We start from the raw sequence: 22,129 nt of genomic DNA, 5'->3' as shown, positions 1-22,129 counted from the left end.
ATCTCAGCTGACTGCAACCTCTGCCTCCCGGGTTCAAGTGATTCTCCTGCCTCAGCCTCCCCAGTAGCTGGGATTACAGGCAACCGCCATCATGGCTGGCTAATTTTTTTATTTTTAGTACAGAAGGGGCTTCTCCATGTTGGTCAGGCTGGTCTTGAACTCCTGACCTTAGGTGATCCACCTGCCTCGACCTCCCAAAGTACTGGGATTCCAGGCGTGAGCCACCGTGCCCAGCCCCATTCACCTATTAAAGGGCATCTCGTTGCTTCCAGTTTTGGAGATTATAAAACTGCTATAAATATTCACATGCACGTGTTTTTGTGTGCTCATACATTTTCAAATCAGTTGGGTCAACACCCAGGAACACAACTGCTGGATCACAGAGTAAGTCTATGTTTAGTTTTGGAAGAAGCCACCAAACCATCTTCCAAAATGGCTGTACCATTCTACATCCCTACCAACAGTAAATGCGAGTCACTGCTGCTCCACACCCTTGCCAGCAACTGACATTGTCAGGTTTTGGATTTTAGCCATTCTAACAAGAATGTAGTAGTATCATCTTGTTCATCCATTCATTTTTTTTTTTTTTGAGACAGAGTCTCACTGTGTCACCCAGGCTGGAGTGCAATGGCACAATCTCAGCTCACTGCAAGCTCCGCCTCCCAGATTCAAGAGATTCTCCTGCCTCAGCCTCCCAAGTAGCTGGGACTATGGGCACGTGTCACCATGCCTGGCTAATATTTTTGTATTTTTAGTAGAGACAGGGTTTCACCATGTTAGCCAGGATGGTCTCGATCTCCTGATCTCGTGATCTGCCCGCCTCAGCCTCCCAAAGTGCTAGGATTACATGCGTGAGCCACCGCGCAAAGTTGAAAGGATTGTACAGAAATACAATGCTGCTCACTAAGATGAAGTTTTAATTCACTGGGCAAGCCAACGAGAGCCCATCTATGGGCTGAATTTAGCAATGGTTAAAGGCTCCAAAATCCAGGGGATGAGCTGTGGGTCTGAGGGCTGAGACCAGAGGGGAGCCCCTAAAGCGTTGTACCAAGGAAGCTGTGCTATCTTCCCCCGAGGTAGACAGAGTCCTCTCTCTAAGATAGGCCACAGTTGTCACCACCCACCTCCCTCACGGAACTCTGTGCCCCTCCTGCCATAGCCCACTGCTCCAAGGAGGAGGGACATCTGAACCTGCTGTAGGGCCAAGCCAGTGGCTCCTGCCTGTAATCCCAGCACTTTGGGAGGCTGAGGTAGGAGGATTGCTTGAGCCCAGGAGGTCAAGACTGCAGTGAGCCATGTTTGCACCACTGCGCTCAAGCCTGGGTGACAGGGTAAGACCCTGTCTCAAAAATAAATAAATAAATATAAATGAATGAATTCAAGGTTCAACCCCTCAGGCACCTCCCAAGCAAACCCCTTCCCCCAAACATGGGTGTTATGGACTAAATGTTTGTGTCTCTCCAAAATTCATATGCTGAAGCCTAACTCCCAGTGTGGCTGTGTTTGGAGATGGACCGCTAAGGAAGTAATTAAGGTTAAATGAGGCCATAAGGGTAGGGCTCTGATTTGATAGGACTAGTGTCCTTTTTTGTTTTTTTACTTTTTTATTTTTTTAAGACAGGGTCTTGCTCTGTTGCCCAGGCTGGAGTGCAGTTGCATGATCACGGCTCACTGCAGCCTCAACCTCCTGGGCTCAAGCAATCCTCCCACCTCAGCCTCCCAAGTAGCTGGGACTAAAGGCACATGCCACCATGCCAGGCTACTTTTTGTAGAGACAGGGTCTCACTATGTTGCCCAGGCTGGTCTTGAACTCCTGGGCTGAAGCAATACTCCCGCCTCAGCTTCCCAGTGTGCTGGGATTACAGGAGTGAGCCACCGAGCCTGGCCCTTCTTTTGTTTTTTAGATGTCGGGTCTCACTGTGTTGCCCAGGCTGGACTCAAACTTCTGGGCTCAATCAAGTCTTCCATGTGAGCTCCCAAGTAGCTGAGATTACAGCCTTGCACCTCCCTGCCCAGCTTCCAGGATTAACGTACTTATAAGAAGAGACACCAGAAAGCTTGTTCTTTCTCTCTGCACCAAGGAGCACATATGAAGACGTGGCCAGAAGGTGGCTATTTACAAGCCAGGAAGGGAGCCCTCACCAGAAACCAACCGTGCTAGCATCCTGATCTCAAACTTGCAGCCTCCAGAACCATGAGAAAATAAATTTTAGTTGTTTAAGCCACCCAGTCTATGGTATTTTATTTTGTTTGTGGAATTAGGCCAGTGGCTATTGCCTGTAATCCCAGCACTTTGAGAGGCTGAGGCAAGAGGATTGTTTGAGCCCAGGAGGTCAAGGCTGCAGTAACTAATAGAATGGGCAGTGGAGAAAGTAGGAAGGTCTAAGGTGTGGAAGTGTCAGAGGTGTTTGAACCAGAGCAACTCCATCTTGAATAGGAGCTGGGTAAAATGAGGCTGAGACCTACTGGGCTGCATTCCCAGATGGTTAAGGCATTCTAAGTCACAGGATGAGATCGAAGGTCAGCACAAGACACAGGTCATAAATACCGTGCTGATAAAACAGGTTACAGTAAAGAGGCCAGCTAAAACCCACCAAAACCAAGATGGTGATGAGAGTGACCTCTGGTCGTCCTCACTGCTACACTCCCATCTGTAAACTGATGCCATGGCAATGTCAGGCAGTTACCCTATATGGTCTAAAAAGGGGAGGCATGAATAATCCACCCCTTGATTAGCATATCATCAAGAAATAACCAGAAAAATGAGCAACCAGTAGCCCTTGGGGCTGCTCTGTCCGTAGCCATTCTTTTATTCCTTTACTTTCTTAATAAACTTGCTTTCACTTTACTCTGTGGACTCACCCTAAATTATTTCTTGTGCAAGATCCAAGAACCCTCTGGTGGGATATGGATCCAGACCCCTTTCCTGTAACAGAAGGAGTTGGGGCTTGGTGGTTTCCAAAGGAGGTATAACCCTCAGTGGCTCCTCTTCACCTACTATCCACAGTAGATTTCTCTGAAGCGCACCCTCAGTGCCACCAGTAGGAGCAGAAGACCTTGGGTGACCTGATCAACACCTTTTCTTTTTAACAGTAGTTGAGTCTGAATATGTATTAGAAAACTATAAATACTGAGCACATGATTAAATGGACATTATGCCTTTTCCTTTCTATTTAAGATTTTGTAAAAGTGAATTAATTACAAGGAAATGTTAAATAGATGGCAAAACTGATGGAGTTTTCCTAATGGCTGGAGTTAGGGAAGCACTGGACTCCGTGGTCAACTCAGCTTCCTTACATCCACGTCACCTAAGGTCCCCTTCCTGACCCTGTGGTTATTTCCACGGCTCCACCTCCACTTCCCAGTGAACTCTCCAGCAGAAAAAAAAAAGGAAAAAAAAAAAAGGCTGGTTCTCAAACACATGTTGTGCTCTCCCATTTCCCAAGATTTTGCACATGACAGTCCCTCTACCTGGAGTGTCCCCTCGGTCTCCGCTTCCACCCCCACCTACTCAAATGCCACCTAGTCTGTAGAGATTTCTGTGATGCCACCCGGCAGGCCCTTCCTCTAAGTTCCAATGCATCCTGTCCCGTTATCCCTTGTGGCCATTGACTTACTGCAATGTAAAGAAGACGTTGCTTCCCTGTCTCAGAGTATAAGGCCTCCTTGAGTACAGAGGCCATGGCCTGTTCATTTCTGTAACCTCAGCGTTCAGCACAAGGCATGGGACGGAGGAGGGAGTCAGAACATGGTTTTTGTGTGTTTTTTTTGGGGGGGGGGTTTGAGACCGAGTCTTGCCCTGTCGCTCAGGCTGGAGTGCAATGGCACGATCTCGGCTCACTGCAACCTCTGTTCAAACGATTCTCCTGCCTCAGCCTCCCAAGTAGCTGGGATTACAGGCGCCCGCCACCACACCGCTAATTTTTGTATTTTTAGTAGAGATGGGGGTTTCACCATGTTGGCCAGGCTAGTCTCGAACTCCTGACCTCGTGATCCGCCCGCCTCGGCCTCCCAAAGTGCTGGGATTACAGGCGTGAGCCACCGCGCTCAGCCAGAACATGCTTGTTGGATGAATGAATGAATGAATGAATGAATGACTGTCCTAGAGATGAAGATCTACAAAGCTGGGAGCATGAAGATACACAAGGCCAGAGAAGTTTGAGTTTGGAGAAGGAGCCTGGGAGAAAGGGTTAGGGAGTGGAGGAGGGTCTGAGGTCTAACTCTGTGGGGAGTGAGACTTGAGGGGAGGGGTCTGAGTGGTGGAGTGGAAAGGTATGGGGGCCCTGTGGGACAGGAAGGCGGAGAATGAAACAACAAGCACTTTATGACTATTCATTTAATCCACACAACCCAATGAGATCGTCATTTTCCCCATTTTACGGATGGGGAAACTGAGGCATACTGAGGTGAGAAACTTGCCTGGGGGAAATCGCTAGTGGGGGTGGTGCTGAGATTTGAACCCAGACGGTTGGCTCCAGTCGGTGCTCTTGACCAGTTTGGTCCGGGGCCCGGCACGCAAGTAATCCCGAAGGTTTGCCCTACGGCCATTGTCACTAACTTAGGCAGCAGCGCGGGGCCTTGGGGGTGCGGGTAAAGGGGTCTTTGAGGTCGCCCTTAGACCTGAGGACGAGCCAAGCCGCAGGAAGAACGGTACGTGGCGGCATCCATGAGGGGCCTGTTGCCATGGGAACAAACGCAGGCCTCGGGCGGGCGCATGCGCAGATCGGGGAGCGGGTGTTGAACCGGTGAAAGGTGACGTAAAAGCGCACGGGGTGGGGCGCAGGGCTCGGGACGTCAAAGCCCTGCGTCCTTCGGCCCCCAGAGCGGAGAAGCGCGCAAGGCACCGGTGGCAGCGGCGACGGCAGCTGCGACAGCAACCCCTGCTGGGCCGAAACTGGGCAGAGCGGAGCAGACGTCTGAAGCAGCGCGAGTGAGGCGCGAGGGTAGCGCCCGCGCCCGGGAAGACCCCTCGGCGCGAACCGGCAGCCCAGCCCCGGGTCCCGGTTCCCAAGGCCCCGCCTCTAGGGCCTGGGGACTAATCGGATTGAGAGCGCGCCGGCCCGGGCCGCGAACTCGCCAATTGCGGAGGGCGGTGGCCACCGCCCAATCCGGAGCAGACAGGTGCGAGGTCCGGAAGGCGGAGGCCAATCGGCGGCGGTTGCGACCTGCTGGGGCAGGTCTCGGCCAATAAGGAGGCTCGAGTGACATCTTCGCGCACCAATCGGGAGTGAGGGAGCATTCGTGCCCGCTCGCCCTTCCGGCCAGACCTCTATTTACCAGGGGCGTGCAGCCCGCTTGCCAATCAGAGCGCGGCTGAGCGGCCCCGCAGCCAACCCCCGAGGAGCGGCCGGCTGGCGTCCGCCGCGCCCAGGAGTTGGGGATGTCCTACAAACCCATCGCCCCTGCTCCCAGCAGCACCCCTGGCTCCAGCACCCCTGGGCCGGGCACCCCGGTCCCTACAGGTGAGGATCCAGCTCCACCCCTGCTCGCCTGCCGGGCGGTCGAGGTCTCGAAGAGAAGACGGCCTGAGTTCTGCAATACTGGGCCTGCCGCCTACCCTCGCTGAGCCTCAGTTTGCTGGCCTGTGAAGTGGGCGTGGTCACGTAAGGGCTTGTAGGTGGAGCGCAGTGGGAGGGATTTGTCCCTGAAGTTGATCAGCATGGAATGAAGCATCCTTTGGAGGGAATCGGGCGAACCCGGTCCTGGGCTTGGAAAAGCTGGGAGGCGGCGTCCCTGCCCCGCGCTGACCTCTTACTCGCGCCTGTTGCTGCAGGAAGCGTCCCGTCGCCGTCGGGCTCAGTGCCAGGAGCCGGCGCTCCTTTCAGACCGCTGTTTAACGACTTTGGACCGCCTTCCATGGGCTACGTGCAGGTGAGTGGGGCCAAAGCCTTGCTTATGGATGCGGACTGGAGTCCCCCTCCCCGCCAGGTGCCTGAGCTCACTGCCCTGTTCTCTTTTGACATAGGCGATGAAGCCACCCGGCGCCCAGGGCTCCCAGAGCACCTACACGGACCTGCTGTCAGTCATAGAGGAGATGGGCAAAGAGATCCGGCCTACCTATGCTGGCAGCAAGAGCGCCATGGAGCGCCTGAAGAGAGGTAAGTGAGGCCAGGCCGCCCTGCTCAGGAAACCGACACTGGACTATCCTTCATGAGGGAAGGAAGGACATCTGGAGGCCACCTGAGCCAAGCCTAGAGGATGTCCAGTATTACTACCAGAGAGGTGTTTTGAATCGAATTGAAATTGAGTCCATTTCCAGGGAAGAGCATGGGAATTTGTATTTCAACAGGGCAACCTTGAGGATTAACCAAACCTCTAATTTCATCTAGCCGTCATTAGATTTGAATTTCTTTTGCCGAAAGTGGAAAGGGAGTGGGGAGGCAGGGGTCCTCCTCTGGAGGGCAGTGGGTGGGGCTGTGGAGGGTTGCTGAGACCCCACCCCACCCCCAGGTATCATCCATGCCCGGGCCCTAGTCAGAGAGTGCCTGGCAGAGACAGAGCGGAACGCCCGCACGTAACAGGAAGCGCCTCGGCCTCAGCGTCTGGACCTATCCGGCCACTGCAGAGCACCCGCTTCTCCCTGGCCTTCATCCCGAGTTGCACTAACCATCCTGGGCTTCCTGTCCTGTGTCCCTTGGTGGGTCCCCTCCAGGAACCAAGGAGTGGCCCTCCAGGTGGCAGCACTAAGGACACCCCCCCACAACAAGAGTTAGCAGCGAGGTCCCCATGAGTCCCACCCATGACCTGCCGACAGTGTTGCCCACCGGAACTTTTGTGGCCCCTACCGCTCAGCCCTTCCCAGCACTTCTCCCACTTTGTCCCGAGCCTCCTTCTCCCCCAGCAGGGGCACAGGCCTGGCACCTCCCTGCCTTGTGTCCTGAGCCATAGTGACTCTTTTATCTGTGTGTCTTTTGCTAAATATGCCCTTTTTATATTAATAAAAGATGATTTGGAGTTGTGCTCTCAGCTCTGAGCCTTTCTGGGTCTGGTTCTTCAGCTAAGCCTGGGTGGGCCAGGCAGAGACAGGGGAAGAGGAGACTATGGATGGGGAGGGTGTGATTAAATGAGGTTTGACTTGCCTCTGTAGGCCATCAGCCTTTGGTGGGACCTGGGCCCTCTCCGCCCCAGCCGTGGCGCTGAGAGCCCTGGGCCTTCCTGTGGTGCCACCAGGGGGCAGCACAGGGCCTGGCTGCTTCCACAGCCCTTGGCGCTGTGGGCAGCCTGGGCCTGGAGGGCGCTTCCTCTGGATTGGCGGTGATGCCTGGCAGCATGGAAATGCCAGTTCACGTAAGCCACTCCCTCACACGCCCTAATGCCCTGACAACACCCCAGCCTCTGAATCAGCCCTGAAGGTCTCTGACTTCTCAGAGAGAAAGGGCACTGCTGCTTCCAGCACTTGGCCTCAGTGTCAAGGGGAGGGGCTGGCGGGGTGCTGCCGTCACTGCCCCAGCACCTTGTAGCAGGCTGGGTGGGATCCCATGAACCCAGCCTTGGGGTGCCTCGTGAGGCCTTTGCCCAGACTCCGGGTGGCTGGGTGACCGGACTTGTGGACCCGGAAGGCAGAGGTGGGGGAGGCTTTGTGGCACCATGCAGGGGCTAGCCCAGCCACTCACAGTGACAGCCCGTTTCTGCCTGGGCGTGTAGCTGGGTGACCATAGAGGCCTGGGGCCCTGGAGCCGAGCCCAGCCCTAGGTGGAGGCATGTCAGAGCCACCAGCTTCTGGCTAGACTGGTGGGGAGGCATTTCCTCAACCCTGGGTCCCAAATCTAAGGACTGCAGAGAGTGAGAAGAGGAGAGTGGGCCTGGGACCCCCCATATCAAACCACCCTGTGACTGCACACAGGAGGGCTGGGCTAGGGTGGAGATAGGAACTAAGAGTCTTTGGGGACCCCAATCAGCACAGAGGGACTAGGAAGAGCCAGAATTTAGGCAATGGCCTTTTTCCCACTGCCCGGGGGAAGGAAGGCAGGGGCCTCCCTCCCTGCCTCCTCCGCTGCAGGCGGGGCTGCCCGGACCCCGCCGGGGTGGGGAGGGCCAGCCGGGCCCAGGAAGGGGGCGGGGCGGCCGCAGTGACGCGGCGGGCGTCGGGGAGGGACTGCAGGGGCGCCGGCGGGCGGATCGAGAGGAAGGTCGGGGCCATGGGCCGGCACTGCGCCTCGGGAGGGTCCGGCCACCGCTGGAACCCGAGGCCGGGGCTGGGGGCGCTCCGGGCTCCGACCCACGGGCCGGCCGGCCCTGCCCGGGCTGGGTGAGGGGCGCCCGCCTCAAGCTAGAGGTGAGCCGGGGCGTCGGCAGGCGGGCCAAGAGCGCGGCAGGGGACCGGGACGCCGGCGAGCAGAGGGAAGTGGGGACAACGGGGCCTCTCGCTTGCTCGCGGGGTGCGAGTGGGGGATGGAGGGGTGCCTGCAGCGGAACCTCGGTGCCAGTCTGGGGCGCAGGTGGACGGAGCGGGTCTCCAGGGCCATGGCCCGTGGGATACCAAGTGGAGCCACTCTGGCCTCAGCCTGAGGAGGGCTCACCCCCTGGGAAGAGGACGGAGTGGCTGCCTAGGCGCGTGGAGAGCCGGCGAGGGCCAGGGGTCCAGGAAGGATGCTGGGAGGGGGAGGTCGAGGACCCGGCTGCCCAAGAAGGCAGATCTGGAGGGCGGAGGAGATTACCGGTCCCGGAAGGTAGGTTCGGGTGCAGGGCGTGGGGAACCCTGGCAGAGATGCTGGGCGCACTGGGCCACTCCGCGCAGAGACACTCGGGGAACAAAGCTCTAGGTGGACGTCCGAGAGTGGGGGACTTGGGACCCCGCCGACTCCGGGAAGGGGATGCAAGGGGCGGGTCCCCGAGGGGCCGGTCGCGGAAGGCGGGCCCGGAAGGAGGGGCCCCGGGGCTTCGGGGGCGCGCCCAGAGGGATGCCGTTTCCCGGGGTTAGGACGCGGTCGCAGCGGGAGAGGTGAGGTGGCCCTCCCGCCCGCCGGCCGGAGCCTGGCGCTCCGGGGGGCCCGCGTCAGCGCGCGGTTGCCATGGCGACGGGCGGGCGGGGGGCGGGGGCTGCGCGGAAAAGAGGTCAGCGCTCAGCCTCGCTGCGGCTCCCGGCCCCGGCGGCGCGGGCGGCGGTGCTAGGCTCGCCTCTGCCTCCCTCGTGGCGGGCCCGGACATGGGGTCCCGTGGCCTGAGTCCCTCGGCCGGCGCGCAGGGCTCGGGGCCGCGCGCAGCCTCCCCGCACTGACTGTCGCGCCGTGCCCTGCGCCAGGAGGAGCGGAGGCCGCGCGCGGCCCGCCGAGCGCCTTCAGGATGCTCATCAAGGAATACCACATTCTGCTGCCCATGAGCCTGGACGAGTACCAGGTGGCCCAGCTCTACATGATCCAGGTGAGGGCGGCGGGGAGAGGGCACCCGGGCAAGGGGTGGAGCCCTGCCGACCCCGCCAGCCCTGCCCCGGGGCTGGGACCGGCTGGGAGCCCGGAGGAGGCAAGAGAGGCCCCCCTTCAGATGTGGGAATGGGGAAGGACTGTGGGAAGAGGGGCAGGAGGGCCGAGTGGTGCTTCCCATCCGCTAAGTGCCCAGCCCTCCTCTGATCTCCTGTAATCCTCCTCAGGATCTGTAATCCCATCGGGGAAGGAAAAAGCGCCCAGGAGGCGGCAAGAATGAGGAGGGGGGCCTCCGCGGCAGAGGAAGGCGGGAGGGGGTCTGGAGAAGTGGAGGGTCCTGGCCATCCCTGGAGGTCAGGGAGATGTGGTGAGGACCAGGTGTCAAACCTGGAGCAGGGACAGGGCAGCAAGGATGGGAGGGCGAGGAGGCTCTGGTGTAGGGCAGTGAGAAGAGTGGGCCAGGGCAGGCCCTCAGCAGTGGCCGGGTTGGTGCGGGGCCTGGGGGAGTCTGCTCCAGATCTGTCCCCAGCACAGCAGGACCAGAATCTCATAAAGCAAGAGGGCCCGGACCCCGCCTCGGGCTTGAAAGGGCCATCTGAGCCCCGGAGCAATAGAAGGCAGGATCTGGGGGCTCTCAAGCTCTGAGGGGTGTGGCGGAGCTGGGATTGGGAGGCGGCCAGGGCCTCCCAGAGAGGGAGGGGGCCAGGGTCAGGGCCTCTGAGAGCTGGAGGCCCCTTTTCCTCTCCTAGTCCCTTCTTCCTTGCCAGCCACCCCGGCCTCCTTGCCACCTGCCAGCACATCCAGTATGCTCCCACCTTGGGGCTGCACTGGCTTCCCCCGGCCTTGAGCACCTCCTCCTACCTCACCTCCTTAAAGTCATGTTCAAGCCATGGTCACATTGTGTTATTAGCAAGGCCTTCCCTGACTATCAGATCAAAACTGCAGCCCCCAACCCTCATCACCTATACCCTACTCTAGGCTTTCTTTTCCTATAGCACCTAGCGCCTTCTAACACACCACATAATTTGCTTTTTCCTTTTGTCTGTCTCCTTCCACTAGAATGTAAGTTCCACGAGGGCAGGGATCTTTGTTCTATTCATCAATATATCTCAATTGATATAATCCCAAACACTGCCTGGAGTGGAGCAGACACTCAATGAATACTTGAATGACTCAACTGAGTGCTGGGTTGCAGACCCCATGCGGGGCTGGGCTGCATCTGTGATTCTGATCCCAGGGAGCTTTGGTGGGGCGGGGTCTGGTTTCAGGGAGTTGAAAAGGCTGGGACCAGGGCCCCAGAGCTGTGTAGAACACCAGGCTGAGCTGGGGATCCCAGATGCTAAGCTGGGGCTGAGCTCCCTGTCCTGCTCTCCCTTGGGCCACAGAAAAAGAGCCGGGAGGAGTCTAGTGGTGAGGGCAGCGGCGTGGAGATCCTGGCCAACCGGCCCTACACGGATGGGCCCGGGGGCAGCGGGCAATACACACACAAGGTGTACCACGTGGGCTCCCACATCCCAGGCTGGTTCCGGGCACTGCTGCCCAAGGCTGCCCTGCAGGTAGAAGAGGAATCCTGGAATGCCTACCCCTACACCCGAACCCGGTGAGTGGGTGAGCTGGGCATGGTCCGAGGCCAGGAGGGGAGCGGCCCTGGTGGGTACAGCAGTGAGCCTCACCCGTGCCTTCTGCCCAGGTACACCTGCCCTTTCGTGGAGAAATTCTCCATTGAAATTGAGACCTATTACCTGCCTGATGGGGGGCAGCAGCCAAACGTCTTCAACCTGAGCGGGGCCGAGAGGAGACAGCGCATCCTGGGTGAGGCCTGGAGCTATGGGGGGACCCTGGCGCCCCTCTCAGGCTCCTGGCTGCCTCAGTGGGCAGCCTCTGAGAAGTCCCAGCCCTCTCCAGGCCTCATGTCCTGTCTGCAAAAGGACGGGAACTGTCATCCAGTCCCAAGAGGGTGCCAGGAGCGGGGGCTCAAAGGGGCTGGCGCTGCTCAATGCTTGCCGAACTCCCTCAGACACCATCGACATCGTGCGGGATGCAGTGGCCCCAGGCGAGTACAAAGCAGAAGAGGACCCCCGGCTTTATCACTCGGTCAAGACGGGCCGAGGGCCACTGTCTGATGACTGGGCACGGACGGCGGCACAGACGGGGCCCCTTATGTGTGCCTATAAGCTGTGCAAGGTTGAGTTCCGCTACTGGGGCATGCAAGCCAAGATCGAGCAGTTCATCCATGATGTAGGTGAGCACCCAGCTGCGGGAGGTCCCACTTACCCAGCATGCCCCAGACCCCATGTTTAGGGCCAGGGATGCTCCCATCCACTGGGGACACAGAAGCAGAAAGCCATCGTTTCCATTTGAGGTGGGGAGCACTAGGGCAGAAGCGGCCGCACAGCCTAGCCAGGCATCCACAGAGCAGGAAGCTGGTAACATGATCTACAAGGTCCATACTGGCTCTGACATTCAGAAATGCTGCTGCTTCCATTAAGATTCTAAGATTCTCCATCATCCTATGAGTTAGATGAGACTTAGAGACACTCAGGAAGGTCACCGGCTCTAACTGGCAGCATGCTAAGGAGTGCAGGCTGAGGCTGTGACTCTGATGTCATTCTCTCTGGGATTCCCCACCTCCACTCCCAGTTTCTAGTGTTCCAGCCTTTGGCCCTGGTGTTCAGGAGCCCCAGTCCCACACCTCCCCTCAACCTGACCCCACCACGCCTACAATTCAGCCCTGCCTCAGTGCCCAGGTCATCTGCACACAGAGGGATGGTCCCTAGTTGGAGAGACCAGCGGCCTGGCTTCTGTCCCACTACTGACCCCCACCCCATGGTACCTCCAGCAAGGCACTGGCCATCTCTGCACTTTAAATTTCTCTTCAGTAAATGAGGAAGAGGTTGAGTCAGATATGAAGAGCTAATACTGACAGTGATTGCGACACACAGACCCATGGCTAATTACTTTTTGTGCAAGATCTCCCTTAACACCCACAACACCCCACCAGGTAATGACGATGATTATTCCCATTTTACAGGTGAGGAAATTCAGCTTAGAGAATAATGAGGACGCCTTGTCTTGCATTTGGAAAAATGCCAAAAAGCACAAATAAGAAAAATATAGCCACTACTAAGATTCCAATATATCTCCTCGCAGAAGTTTATAATTATCATTCAACCATCATTACTTTATTTCCTAGACATTTAAGAGTTTCTAACTTTTTCTTCTGCTTAAGATAAAAATATCCCAGAATGGGTATCATCTTTCGCTACAACCTTCATTGAGTGCCAACACTTCCATTAACTGTTAACACCTTCATTAACCATCAACAATTTCATTAACTGTTAAACCCTTAATTAACTGTTAATTCCTCAGAAGTCAGCAGGAAGCCAGCCAAAAGCAAGAACAAGCATTGGTCCCTGCTTCTGGAGTGATGGGGTGGGGACAGTGCTGAGAGTTAGGGTGTGCAGAGAGACAGGAAAGGCAGTGGGCGGGGGGGAGTCAGGCAGGAAGACAAATGCCCCACTTTCCACTCCCATTCCTGGACTGCACTGGCCCTGCCCTACTTTGTGGCTCTGGGTGGGTGGTGTCCCCAGGGGAGCCATTATCCAACCTCAAGGCTGGGCATGTAGCTGCGGTGGCAGGGAAGCAGGGGGAGGGGGCAGTTCTGACGCCTGGGCACCTGCAGGTCTGCGTCGGGTGATGCTGCGGGCCCACCGCCAGGCCTGGTGCTGGCAGGATGAGTGGACAGAGCTGAGCATGGCTGACATCCGGGCACTGGAAGAGGAGACTGCTCGCATGCTGGCCCAGCGCATGGCCAAGTGCAACACAGGCAGTGAGGGGTCCGAGGCCCAGCCCCCCGGGAAACCGAGCACCGAGGCCCGGTCTGCGGCCAGCAACACTGGCACCCCCGATGGGCCTGAGGCCCCCCCAGGCCCAGATGCCTCCCCCGATGCCAGCTTTGGGAAGCAGTGGTCCTCATCCTCCCGTTCCTCCTACTCATCCCAACATGGAGGTGAGGCTGGGGCACAGGGATGGGAGGAACGGCCCTCCCCAGGCTGGGCTCCTGGGCTGAGGCTGAGGCTGAGCTGGCCCGGCAGGGGCTGTGTCTCCCCAGAGCTTGTCTGAGTGGCGCATGCAGAACATTGCCCGAGACTCTGAGAACAGCTCCGAGGAAGAGTTCTTTGATGCCCACGGTCAGCACTGAGGCCCTTTTTGGGAGTGGGGATGTCCCCGAGCAGCTCCTCCCACCCCATGACACAGCCCCCTGTCCCCTCAGAAGGCTTCTCGGACAGTGAGGAGGTCTTCCCCAAGGAGATGACCAAGTGGAACTCCAATGACTTCATTGATGCCTTTGCCTCCCCAGTGGAGGCAGAGGGAACGCCAGGTAAAGATACCGCCTAGGACACCGGCCCCCAGCACCCGTGTACAGCAGGTCATGAGTTTAATGGCATCTTAAGATGAGAGGCAATCTGAAGAGGTGCTCATTAAATACATAGACGAATAATGAATGGTGGATGGATGGATGGATGGATGGATGGATGGATGGGTGGATGGATGGATGATTAGAATGTAGTCATGATTCAGACATAGCACTAAGAATGAAGGAATTAATTTGGACTCCCTGAATGCTTCACTTGAGAGGTGATGTCTATGCTGGCTTTGGAGGACTTGGGCCAGCACTGTCCAGCAGAACTTCTAGGTCCATGCTGCCCAAGGCAATAACCACCAGCCACACTGGCTCCCAGGCACTGAAAATGGGGTTAGTGTGACTGAGGAACTGAGGTTTTTATGTATTATATTTTAATTCATTTAAATTTAAATGGCCACTTGTAGCTAATGGCCACCACATTGGACAGGGCAGGGTTAGAGAAGTTTGCCAGGCAAACAGGCATTGTGTGGAGAGGCAGCCCTGACTGCAATAAGACCAGTAGGAGCAAAGGCCTGGAAATACAAACTGACCTGGGAGAGTTGGTGGGAGGAGAAGTTTGGAGGAAGGTAGGGACTGGGGGCCTCAGGCAGATGCCAGAACTGGGGTGCCTGAAGTGCCAGATGAGGGGATCCCAGTGGTCCTCTCCGTCCCTCTCACTGGCTTCGTTGCCCTGCAGAGCCTGGAGCCGAGGCAGCTAAAGGCATTGAGGATGGGGCCCAAGCACCCAGGGACTCAGAGGCGAGTATGGTCAGCCACCCCATGTCAAAGCTCCCCCTACTCACTGGCCCGGCCACTGCTGTGACACCCACTGCACCCCATTGTTCCCCCCAGGGCCTGGATGGAGCCGGGGAGCTGGGGGCTGAGGCATGCGCAGTCCACGCCCTCTTCCTTATCCTGCACAGCGGCAACATCCTGGACTCAGGCCCTGGAGACGCCAACTCCAAGCAGGCGGATGTGCAGACGCTGAGCTCCGCCTTCGAGGCCGTCACCCGCATCCACTTCCCTGAGGCCTTGGGCCACGTGGCGCTGCGACTGGTGCCCTGTCCACCCATCTGCGCCGCCGCCTATGCCCTTGTCTCCAAGTACTAGCCACGGGTGGAAGGGCAGGGAACTCGTAGGATCAGGCCAGGGAGCGGGGCAGGGAGCGGGGAAGGGGTCAGGAAGCCAGACACCTGGGTCGGTCACTGGCATGGCTGGACCTGTTCTGGAGAATGGCTCCATTTCAGTTGCCTCTTGGGGCTAACGCTCCCCACAGAGGACCCACAGAGCCAGGGCCTGCCAGCAGGCCCAGGGGACTTGGATGGCAGGAGTGGGTCTGGAAGCCCCTCACCCACGCACATTTCCCCCTCCTACAGCCTGAGCCCTTACAGCCACGATGGGGACAGCCTGTCTCGCTCCCAAGACCACATTCCACTGGCTGCCCTGCCACTGCTGGCCACCTCATCCTCCCGCTACCAGGGCGCCGTGGCCACCGTCATTGCCCGCACCAACCAGGCCTACTCAGCCTTCCTGCGCTCACCTGAGGGTGCCGGCTTCTGTGGGCAGGTCAGCGGTTAGGGACAGTCCATCTGCTGCCCTCCACTGCAGCCCCCACTGTAGTCTGGCCTGGGTGAGGACAAGGCCTCTCCTGATGGTGCCCCTGCTCCCACCCAGGTCGCACTGATTGGAGATGGTGTTGGTGGCATCCTGGGCTTTGATGCACTCTGCCACAGTGCTAACGCGGGCACCGGGAGTCGGGGCAGCAGCCGCCGTGGGAGCATGGTCAGTATAGCCAAACCCGGCCTCCTCAGGAGCGGAAAGGCCCTCTCTGGCTCTAGGTCTCTGCCCCCTGGAATGCCACCCCTCTGCCAGCAGGCAGGCCCCCTGCTGCCCTGCCAGTTCATGTCTTCTCTGGAATTCTGCTCTGCCCAACCCCCAAGCCTCGCTCCTCACTTCTAAGTAAGTAGAATTCGAATGGTCCCCAGGCCTAAGAATGTTTCTGTCTCCTGTTCCATCCAGAACAATGAGCTGCTCTCTCCGGAGTTTGGCCCAGTGCGGGACCCCCTGGCAGATGGTGTGGAAGGCCTGGGTCGGGGCAGCCCAGAACCCTCGGCCTTGCCTCCCCAGCGCATCCCCAGCGACATGGCCAGTCCTGAGCCCGAGGGCTCTCAGAACAGGTGACGTCCCTGCCCCATCACCCCTACCCTGGGCACATGATGGACTACAGAGGCAGCAGCACTGAGCACCCCTCCTCCCCCACAGCCTTCAGGCAGCCCCCGCAACCACCTCCTCCTGGGAGCCCCGGCGGGCAAGCACGGCCTTCTGCCCACCCGCTGCCAGTTCCGAGGCACCTGACGGCCCCAGCAGCACTGCCCGCCTTGACTTCAAGGTCTCTGGCTTCTTCCTCTTCGGCTCCCCACTGGGCCTGGTGCTGGCTCTGCGCAAAACTGTGATGCCCGCCCTGGAGGGTGAGTCCTAGGGGCTGCGGGGGCGCCTCTAGTCTCTGTCTGCCCCTTCCTTCCCCACCTCCTCTGGCCTTCCCTCTCATCCGAGGCATGAGCAACTTCCCCACTGTACTAATTCAAAGGCCTGGCTACAGAAGGGGAACCTGAGGCCCAGAAAGAAGGGACTCGCCAAGGGTGAGTCTCCCAAAGCCACTGGGAGGAGCTTCACACCCGTGGGATGTTCTGCACTAGAAGGGGTCAATCAGACACCACAGCAGCAAATCGAAGCCGCTGCCCTCTTCTCAGCCTTTTTTTTTTTTTTTGAGACAGAGTCTCGCTCTGTCACCCAGACTAGAGTGTCAGTGGCCTGATCTTGCTCACTGCAACCTCCTGGGTTCAAGTGATTCTCCTACCTCAGCATCCCAAGTAACTGGGATTACAGGCACCTGCCACCATGCCCAGCTAATTTTTGTATTTTTTTTAGTAGAGACAGGGTTTTGCCATGTTGGCCAGGCTGGTCTCGAACTCCTGACCTCAGGTAATCCACCCACCTCTGCCTCCCACAGTGCTGGGATTCCAGGAATGAGCCACTGAACCCAGCTAATTTTTGTATTTTTAATGGAGACGGGGTTTCACCATGTTGGCCAGACTGGTCTCGAACTCCTGACCTCAAGTGATCCATCTGCTTCTGCCTCCCGCAGTACTGGGATTCCAGGCATGAGCCACGGTGCCCAGCCCCTGTCTCACTTTAAGCAGGGCCCTACTGACTTCCCAGGGAGTGCAGTTTGGGAAGTGCTGGCTCGGGGTCACACCAGACATCAGGGTGCTGCTCCCACACCCCCTACCTCCCAGAGTGCCCAGCTGAAACCCTGACCCCACAATCTTTCTCTGTCTTCTGGGTACCAGCAGCCCAGATGCGCCCAGCCTGTGAACAGATCTACAACCTCTTCCACGCGGCTGACCCCTGCGCCTCACGCCTCGAGCCCCTGCTGGCCCCGAAGTTCCAGGCCATCGCCCCACTGACCGTGCCCCGCTACCAGAAGTTCCCCCTGGGAGATGGCTCATCCCTGCTGCTGGGTACGCCCCCAAACAAGATAAAGGGGAGAAGGAGGAGGGCACACACAGGAAGGGAGGAGGTAGCAGAAGACATGAGGAGGCTCCCAGACGATGGAAAACCTCTCAGGCCACCACTCCCAGGACCAGGCGCTCCTTCCCCCTGGGGGGGTCTGGATCCCCAGGACCCTCTGACCTCCTGGGCCTAGAAGTTGGGTGGGGGTGGTTAGCCAAGCTAGAGAGGGTGCCCCCTGGCAGCATGATGCTGGTGTGCTGCCATACAAGCAGCCAGCATGTGTGCGCTGCTGCATCTGTGTGGGGTGTGCTGCAGACATTTATTGCGGGGCATGCCCAGGTATGTATGGGCCAAGCGGGCCTGTGTTGGGCACAGGTGTGCAGCGTTTGGGGCGGTGGCAACAGGCATTCTGGCAGGAGTGCAGCTGGCCACTGGGCTGAGAGGAGAGAATGCCACAGTGCAGCCTCAGCCAGGACCTGACCAGAGGGGCCACAGGAAGATGGCAGAGGTGCGGGGAGCCCTGGGTGAGAAGACAGGAGAGCCACCTGGCCGGCCCCTGCTGACCTTGCCCTCCTTCCCCCAGCCGACACTCTGCAGACGCACTCCAGCCTCTTTCTGGAGGAGCTGGAGATGCTGGTGCCCTCAACACCCACCTCTACTAGCGGTGCCTTCTGGAAGGGCAGTGAGTTGGCCACTGACCCCCCGGCCCAGCCAGCCGCCCCCAGCACCACCAGTGAGGTGGTTAAGAGTAAGTCAGCCAGCCTAGGCAGTCCAGCCTGGGGGTGGGGGAGGCCCGTATTCCACCTCCGAAGCCCAGCTGAGAAACCCTTTCCCCCAGCACACAGCCTGGACTTGGCAAAGAGCAGGCTGGGTGAAAAGGGGGGAGGGAAGAGCACCCAGCGCCCAGGCAGATGGGTGTGGGGCAGGAGGCCATCCTGACTCGCTGCCATGGCCGCGCAGTCCTGGAGCGCTGGTGGGGGACCAAGCGGATCGACTACTCGCTGTACTGCCCCGAGGCGCTCACCGCCTTTCCCACCGTCACGCTGCCCCACCTCTTCCACGCCAGCTACTGGGAGTCCGCCGACGTGGTGGCGTTCATCCTGCGCCAGGTGGGCCTGGGAATATGGAATGGGAGATGAGAATGGGACGGGGATGGGCTGCTTTGGGCCGGGGGAGGGGCAGCCCTCCCTCCCCTAAGAGACAGAGGCCTCGCCCCCTGTCCCGTGCAGGTGATCGAGAAGGAGCGGCCACAGCTGGCGGAATGCGAGGAGCCGTCCATCTACAGCCCGGCCTTCCCCAGGGAGAAGTGGCAGCGAAAACGCACGCAGGTCAAGATCCGGGTAGGTGCCCTGCCCCTCGCCCCCTCGCCCACTCGCCCACTCTCGCCCACTCACCAGAGAGGCCCCGCCCCTCCCCCCAGCACCCCCCTCCTCGGGTCCTAGCCGATCCAACTCTCTCCCAGTCCTGCCCCGCCCCTGGGGTCCTGGCCCCACCTCATTGCCCCAGCCCCGCCCCTGGGAACCGCTGGTCTCCCCGCCCTCTGCGGGAAGTTTGGGTCTAGGGTCTGGATCTGCGCTGGTCCCCACCTCGCCTCATCCTCTGCATCCCGTCCTGTCACAGCTCTGCCCCTGGAGGCGCGGCCCACACACAGGCTCTCAGGCCGGGGTCCACAAAAGTGCGCCCCCCGGGCTTGCCCTTTTCCCTCAATGCCCCGCCGCCTCTAGGCCCCCACCCCGGTGTTTGCGTGTGGATCCTCACCCGCTCCCCCTCCCCAAGCATCCCCATCCTTTGCTGGCCGCGGACTCACGCCCTCTCCTCCCTCTAGAACGTCACTTCCAACCACCGGGCGAGCGACACGGTGGTGTGCGAGGGCCGCCCCCAGGTGCTAAGCGGGCGCTTCATGTACGGGCCCCTGGACGTCGTCACGCTCACTGGAGAGAAGGTCAGGACCCAGAGGCCCTGTCGCCTGGTCCCATGGCCCCATCTCCTGTCCTCGGAACAGCTCCTGGTCCCTGGTGGTTGTGCCCCTAGACCCACCCATCCCCGACGACAGCCCCGCCTCTGCCCACCTCCACGCAGGGCCCCCATTTACCTCCCGCCCCTTCTCCCCTCCAGGTGGATGTCTACATCATGACGCAGCCGCTGTCGGGCAAGTGGATCCACTTTGGCACCGAAGTCACCAATAGCTCGGGCCGCCTCACCTTCCCAGTTCCCCCAGAACGCGCGCTGGGCATTGGTGTCTACCCCGTGCGCATGGTGGTCAGGTGAGCGCGGCTGGCCGGGCCTCTGCGGGAGGGCTCCGCCAGGCCTCGCCCCGCGCCACTCACGCCCCGCCCCGTGGGCCGCAGGGGCGACCACACCTATGCCGAATGCTGCCTGACTGTGGTGGCCCGCGGCACGGAGGCTGTGGTCTTCAGCATCGACGGCTCCTTCACCGCCAGCGTCTCCATCATGGGCAGCGACCCCAAGGTGCGAGCTGGCGCCGTGGACGTGGTCAGGTAGGAGTTGCCACTGCCACCACCACCCATTTCACCGGGGTGACCGGCCCCTCACCCCTGGCCAGCGGAGCTGACCGCTGCCCCCGCCCCACAGGCACTGGCAGGACTCCGGCTACCTGATCGTGTATGTCACAGGCCGGCCGGATATGCAGAAGCACCGCGTGGTGGCATGGCTGTCGCAGCACAACTTCCCCCACGGCGTCGTCTCCTTCTGCGACGGCCTCACCCACGACCCACTACGCCAGAAGGCAATGTTTCTGCAGAGCCTGGTGCAGGAGGTGCGGCGGCTGGGGGAGGCTCCGGGTCCTGACCCCGCCCCCGCTCCCCCTTACCCTCCACCCCCGGATCGGCGGAGGCCCATCTGTTCCCAACTGGATCGGCCCGGGCCCTGCCTGACTGCAGCGGCCCGCTACGGTCCTGCTCCCCTAGTTTGAGGGGCCCCGTGTACTTAGGGGCAACTAGGGAGATGCAGCTGGTCCCGCCCCTGTCCCCGTGGGACTGGGACCTGTCTTCGCCTCCGTCTGCCTGGACCCACCCCCAGAACAATCTGGGGAAGCCCAACAGGCCCCGCCCCCAGCTGCACGGCTCCACCCCTGGGGCGGCTGATTGGCATCTCCCGCCACAGGTAGAACTGAACATCGTGGCCGGTTATGGGTCTCCCAAAGATGTGGCTGTATACGCGGCGCTGGGGCTGTCCCCGAGCCAGACCTACATCGTGGGCCGTGCCGTGCGGAAGCTACAGGCGCAGTGCCAGGTGAGGCCCAAGTGAAGGCCAGGAACAGGACCCCACCAGGGGGCAGGGCCCTCAGTCCCAGGCCTTGGGAACCACGGACTCTGGGGAAGATGTGAGAAGGCCTAACCGGCCTCCAGGGAACCTGGGATCCTCCGAGGACAAGGGCCATGAGCAGCTTGAGCTGCCAGCTGCCAGGCAAGCCAGAGGGGACAGCCCACACTGGAAAGTGCTCAAGACCCTAGGCGCTGGTTCCACTCGGCCATGGCTTTCCACTGTGACCTTTCTGAGCCTCAGCTTCCCATCTGTAAATGGAAATGATCATGGCACTGCCCATGTCAGCTTATGAAGATCACATCAACAGGCACAGGGCTGGGCACAAAGCAAGTGCTGGCTAAACATTGGCTGCTGTTATTTTTCCTCTAAGACCCCATTTTCCAGATGAGGAGACTGAGGCCCAGAGAAGGGCAGAGCTAGGAGCACAGCCAAGGTGCCCTGGCTCCCAGCCTGGGGTCCTATCTATTGAGAAGGCTTCAGCTCAGGCTGTGCCAAGCCTGCCACCAGTCCCCCAGCCTGCCTCAGGTGCCTCTGGAGGACCGTGGAGGGCAGCGTGTGGGCCCTTGGCCAGCACCCCCTCATCGCTGCCTACCTCTGCCCACAGTTCCTGTCAGACGGCTATGTGGCCCACCTGGGCCAGCTGGAAGCGGGCTCGCACTCGCATGCCTCCTCGGGACCCCCGAGAGCTGCCTTGGGCAAGAGCAGCTATGGTGTGGCTGCCCCCGTGGACTTCCTGCGCAAACAGAGCCAGCTGCTTCGCTCGAGGGGCCCCAGCCAGGCGGAGCGTGAGGGCCCGGGAACACCACCCACCACCCTGGCACGGGGCAAAGCACGGAGCATCAGCCTGAAGCTGGACAGCGAGGAGTGAGGCCCACACCAGCCTGGACCTGGGTTATTTATTGACACACCCAAGGGGCCCGAGGGGCTGCGTGTGGGAGGCTGGGGACCCAGACTTTTGGCCCCAGCGCTGGCCCCCCCAGCCCCACACCCTATATCTCCGTGTGCTCCTCGGTGTTACTTCCCTTTCATATGAGGGGACCCAGCGCCGGGGGGAGGGAGGAGGGCGTGGGCATGGGCGCAGAGGCTTTTCCAGTGTGTATAAATCCATGAAAATAAACGCCACCTGCACCCCACCCACTCACCCCATGCCTGGCATCACAGGGCAGCCAGCCCAGTTTCCAGTTCAACAGGGGACACTGATGTGCACAGAGAGGCCAACACACACCCAGGGCCATCCAGCTCACAGGCAGGGTCAGGATGGGGGCCTGGGCCTCAAAAGGTCGCACGAAACCCACGCCCAGGGCCATCCATGTCACAGGCAGGTCAGGATGGGGGCCTGGGCCTCAAAAGGTCTCACGAAGCGCTCGGCCCTCTCCTCTTTCTGGACAGTCAGCCCACCCCAGCCCAACCCGGCTCACCTCAGCCCCAGCGTAGCTTCTCATGGAAACCCTGCCCCCAGACACCGAGGCCAGGAGACCATGGGATCCGAGGCTGGAGTGGGAGGGCAGCACCAGGAGACTACCTCCCTCAGGTGCCCAGCTACCTAGCTTGTACCCACTTCATCTCC

At 59.7% G+C, this 22,129-nt stretch overlaps 2 protein-coding genes across 21 annotated transcripts, besides 9 other annotated features; both read left to right on the top strand.

The window, feature by feature from the left end:
* Positions 4,769-5,018: a silencer, noted in NCBI's record as "silent region_3644". NCBI's record gives its function as "represses an Ori minimal core promoter by ATAC-STARR-seq in GM12878 lymphoblastoid cells {active_cell/tissue: GM12878}" and the evidence as "EXISTENCE:reporter gene assay evidence [ECO:0000049][PMID:35858748]".
* CDK2AP2 (cyclin dependent kinase 2 associated protein 2) lies at positions 5,301-6,966 on the top strand. 3 transcript variants are annotated; one of them, NM_005851.5, is made up of 4 exons: positions 5,301-5,462; positions 5,774-5,871; positions 5,966-6,098; positions 6,451-6,966. In NM_005851.5, the coding sequence occupies exons 1-4, from the start codon at positions 5,381-5,383 to the stop codon at positions 6,516-6,518; spliced, it is 381 nt and encodes a 126-aa protein (NP_005842.1). In that variant the 5' UTR covers positions 5,301-5,380; the 3' UTR covers positions 6,519-6,966. The 3 variants fall into 3 exon arrangements, 2 of the variants coding, with proteins under 2 accessions (NP_005842.1, NP_001258778.1); NM_001271849.2 differs by having other exon boundaries at positions 5,301-5,603; NR_073484.2 differs by having other exon boundaries at positions 5,301-5,871.
* Positions 5,329-5,428: a silencer, noted in NCBI's record as "silent region_3643". NCBI's record gives its function as "represses an Ori minimal core promoter by ATAC-STARR-seq in GM12878 lymphoblastoid cells {active_cell/tissue: GM12878}" and the evidence as "EXISTENCE:reporter gene assay evidence [ECO:0000049][PMID:35858748]".
* A 230-nt stretch (positions 6,967-7,196) lies between the features above and the next one.
* PITPNM1 (phosphatidylinositol transfer protein membrane associated 1) lies at positions 7,197-21,695 on the top strand. 18 transcript variants are annotated; one of them, XM_047427907.1, is made up of 24 exons: positions 7,197-7,287; positions 9,242-9,360; positions 10,745-10,959; positions 11,050-11,171; positions 11,377-11,601; positions 13,042-13,368; positions 13,454-13,549; positions 13,633-13,740; positions 14,462-14,523; positions 14,617-14,867; positions 15,141-15,330; positions 15,439-15,546; positions 15,784-15,941; positions 16,027-16,232; positions 17,115-17,285; positions 17,861-18,025; positions 18,238-18,386; positions 18,507-18,617; positions 19,103-19,219; positions 19,393-19,541; positions 19,626-19,775; positions 19,870-20,053; positions 20,401-20,529; positions 21,167-21,695. In XM_047427907.1, exons 2-24 carry the CDS (start codon positions 9,283-9,285, stop codon positions 21,428-21,430), a joined length of 3,735 nt encoding a protein of 1,244 aa, XP_047283863.1. In that variant the 5' UTR covers positions 7,197-7,287; positions 9,242-9,282; the 3' UTR covers positions 21,431-21,695. The 18 variants fall into 18 exon arrangements, with proteins under 18 accessions (XP_047283863.1, XP_047283867.1, XP_047283861.1 ...); XM_047427911.1 differs by having other exon boundaries at positions 7,199-7,287; positions 13,636-13,740; positions 17,118-17,285; XM_047427905.1 differs by lacking the exon at positions 7,197-7,287 and adding an exon at positions 7,325-7,565.
* Positions 7,804-8,433: a silencer, noted in NCBI's record as "silent region_3642". NCBI's record gives its function as "represses an Ori minimal core promoter by ATAC-STARR-seq in GM12878 lymphoblastoid cells {active_cell/tissue: GM12878}" and the evidence as "EXISTENCE:reporter gene assay evidence [ECO:0000049][PMID:35858748]".
* Positions 8,644-8,803: a silencer, noted in NCBI's record as "silent region_3641". NCBI's record gives its function as "represses an Ori minimal core promoter by ATAC-STARR-seq in GM12878 lymphoblastoid cells {active_cell/tissue: GM12878}" and the evidence as "EXISTENCE:reporter gene assay evidence [ECO:0000049][PMID:35858748]".
* Positions 8,814-8,933: a silencer, noted in NCBI's record as "silent region_3640". NCBI's record gives its function as "represses an Ori minimal core promoter by ATAC-STARR-seq in GM12878 lymphoblastoid cells {active_cell/tissue: GM12878}" and the evidence as "EXISTENCE:reporter gene assay evidence [ECO:0000049][PMID:35858748]".
* Positions 8,814-9,641: a biological region, named in NCBI's record as "H3K4me1 hESC enhancer GRCh37_chr11:67271293-67272042".
* Positions 8,892-9,641: an enhancer, noted in NCBI's record as "H3K4me1 hESC enhancer chr11:67271293-67272042 (GRCh37/hg19 assembly coordinates)". NCBI's record gives its function as "activates a minimal SCP1, AML or CMV promoter by ChIP-STARR-seq in naive H9 embryonic stem cells {active_cell/tissue: H9 hESC(naive)}" and the evidence as "EXISTENCE:reporter gene assay evidence [ECO:0000049][PMID:30033119]".
* Positions 9,014-9,113: a silencer, noted in NCBI's record as "silent region_3639". NCBI's record gives its function as "represses an Ori minimal core promoter by ATAC-STARR-seq in GM12878 lymphoblastoid cells {active_cell/tissue: GM12878}" and the evidence as "EXISTENCE:reporter gene assay evidence [ECO:0000049][PMID:35858748]".
* Positions 9,642-10,391: an enhancer, noted in NCBI's record as "H3K4me1 hESC enhancer chr11:67270543-67271292 (GRCh37/hg19 assembly coordinates)". NCBI's record gives its function as "activates a minimal SCP1, AML or CMV promoter by ChIP-STARR-seq in naive H9 embryonic stem cells {active_cell/tissue: H9 hESC(naive)}" and the evidence as "EXISTENCE:reporter gene assay evidence [ECO:0000049][PMID:30033119]".

Source organism: Homo sapiens, chromosome 11 (genome assembly GCF_000001405.40).
Source record: "Homo sapiens chromosome 11, GRCh38.p14 Primary Assembly".
In the NCBI taxonomy this organism is placed as follows: domain Eukaryota; kingdom Metazoa; phylum Chordata; class Mammalia; order Primates; family Hominidae; genus Homo; species Homo sapiens.
The sequence above is the reverse complement of the archived record's forward strand: the minus strand, read 5'-3'. Positions and strand labels throughout refer to the sequence as shown.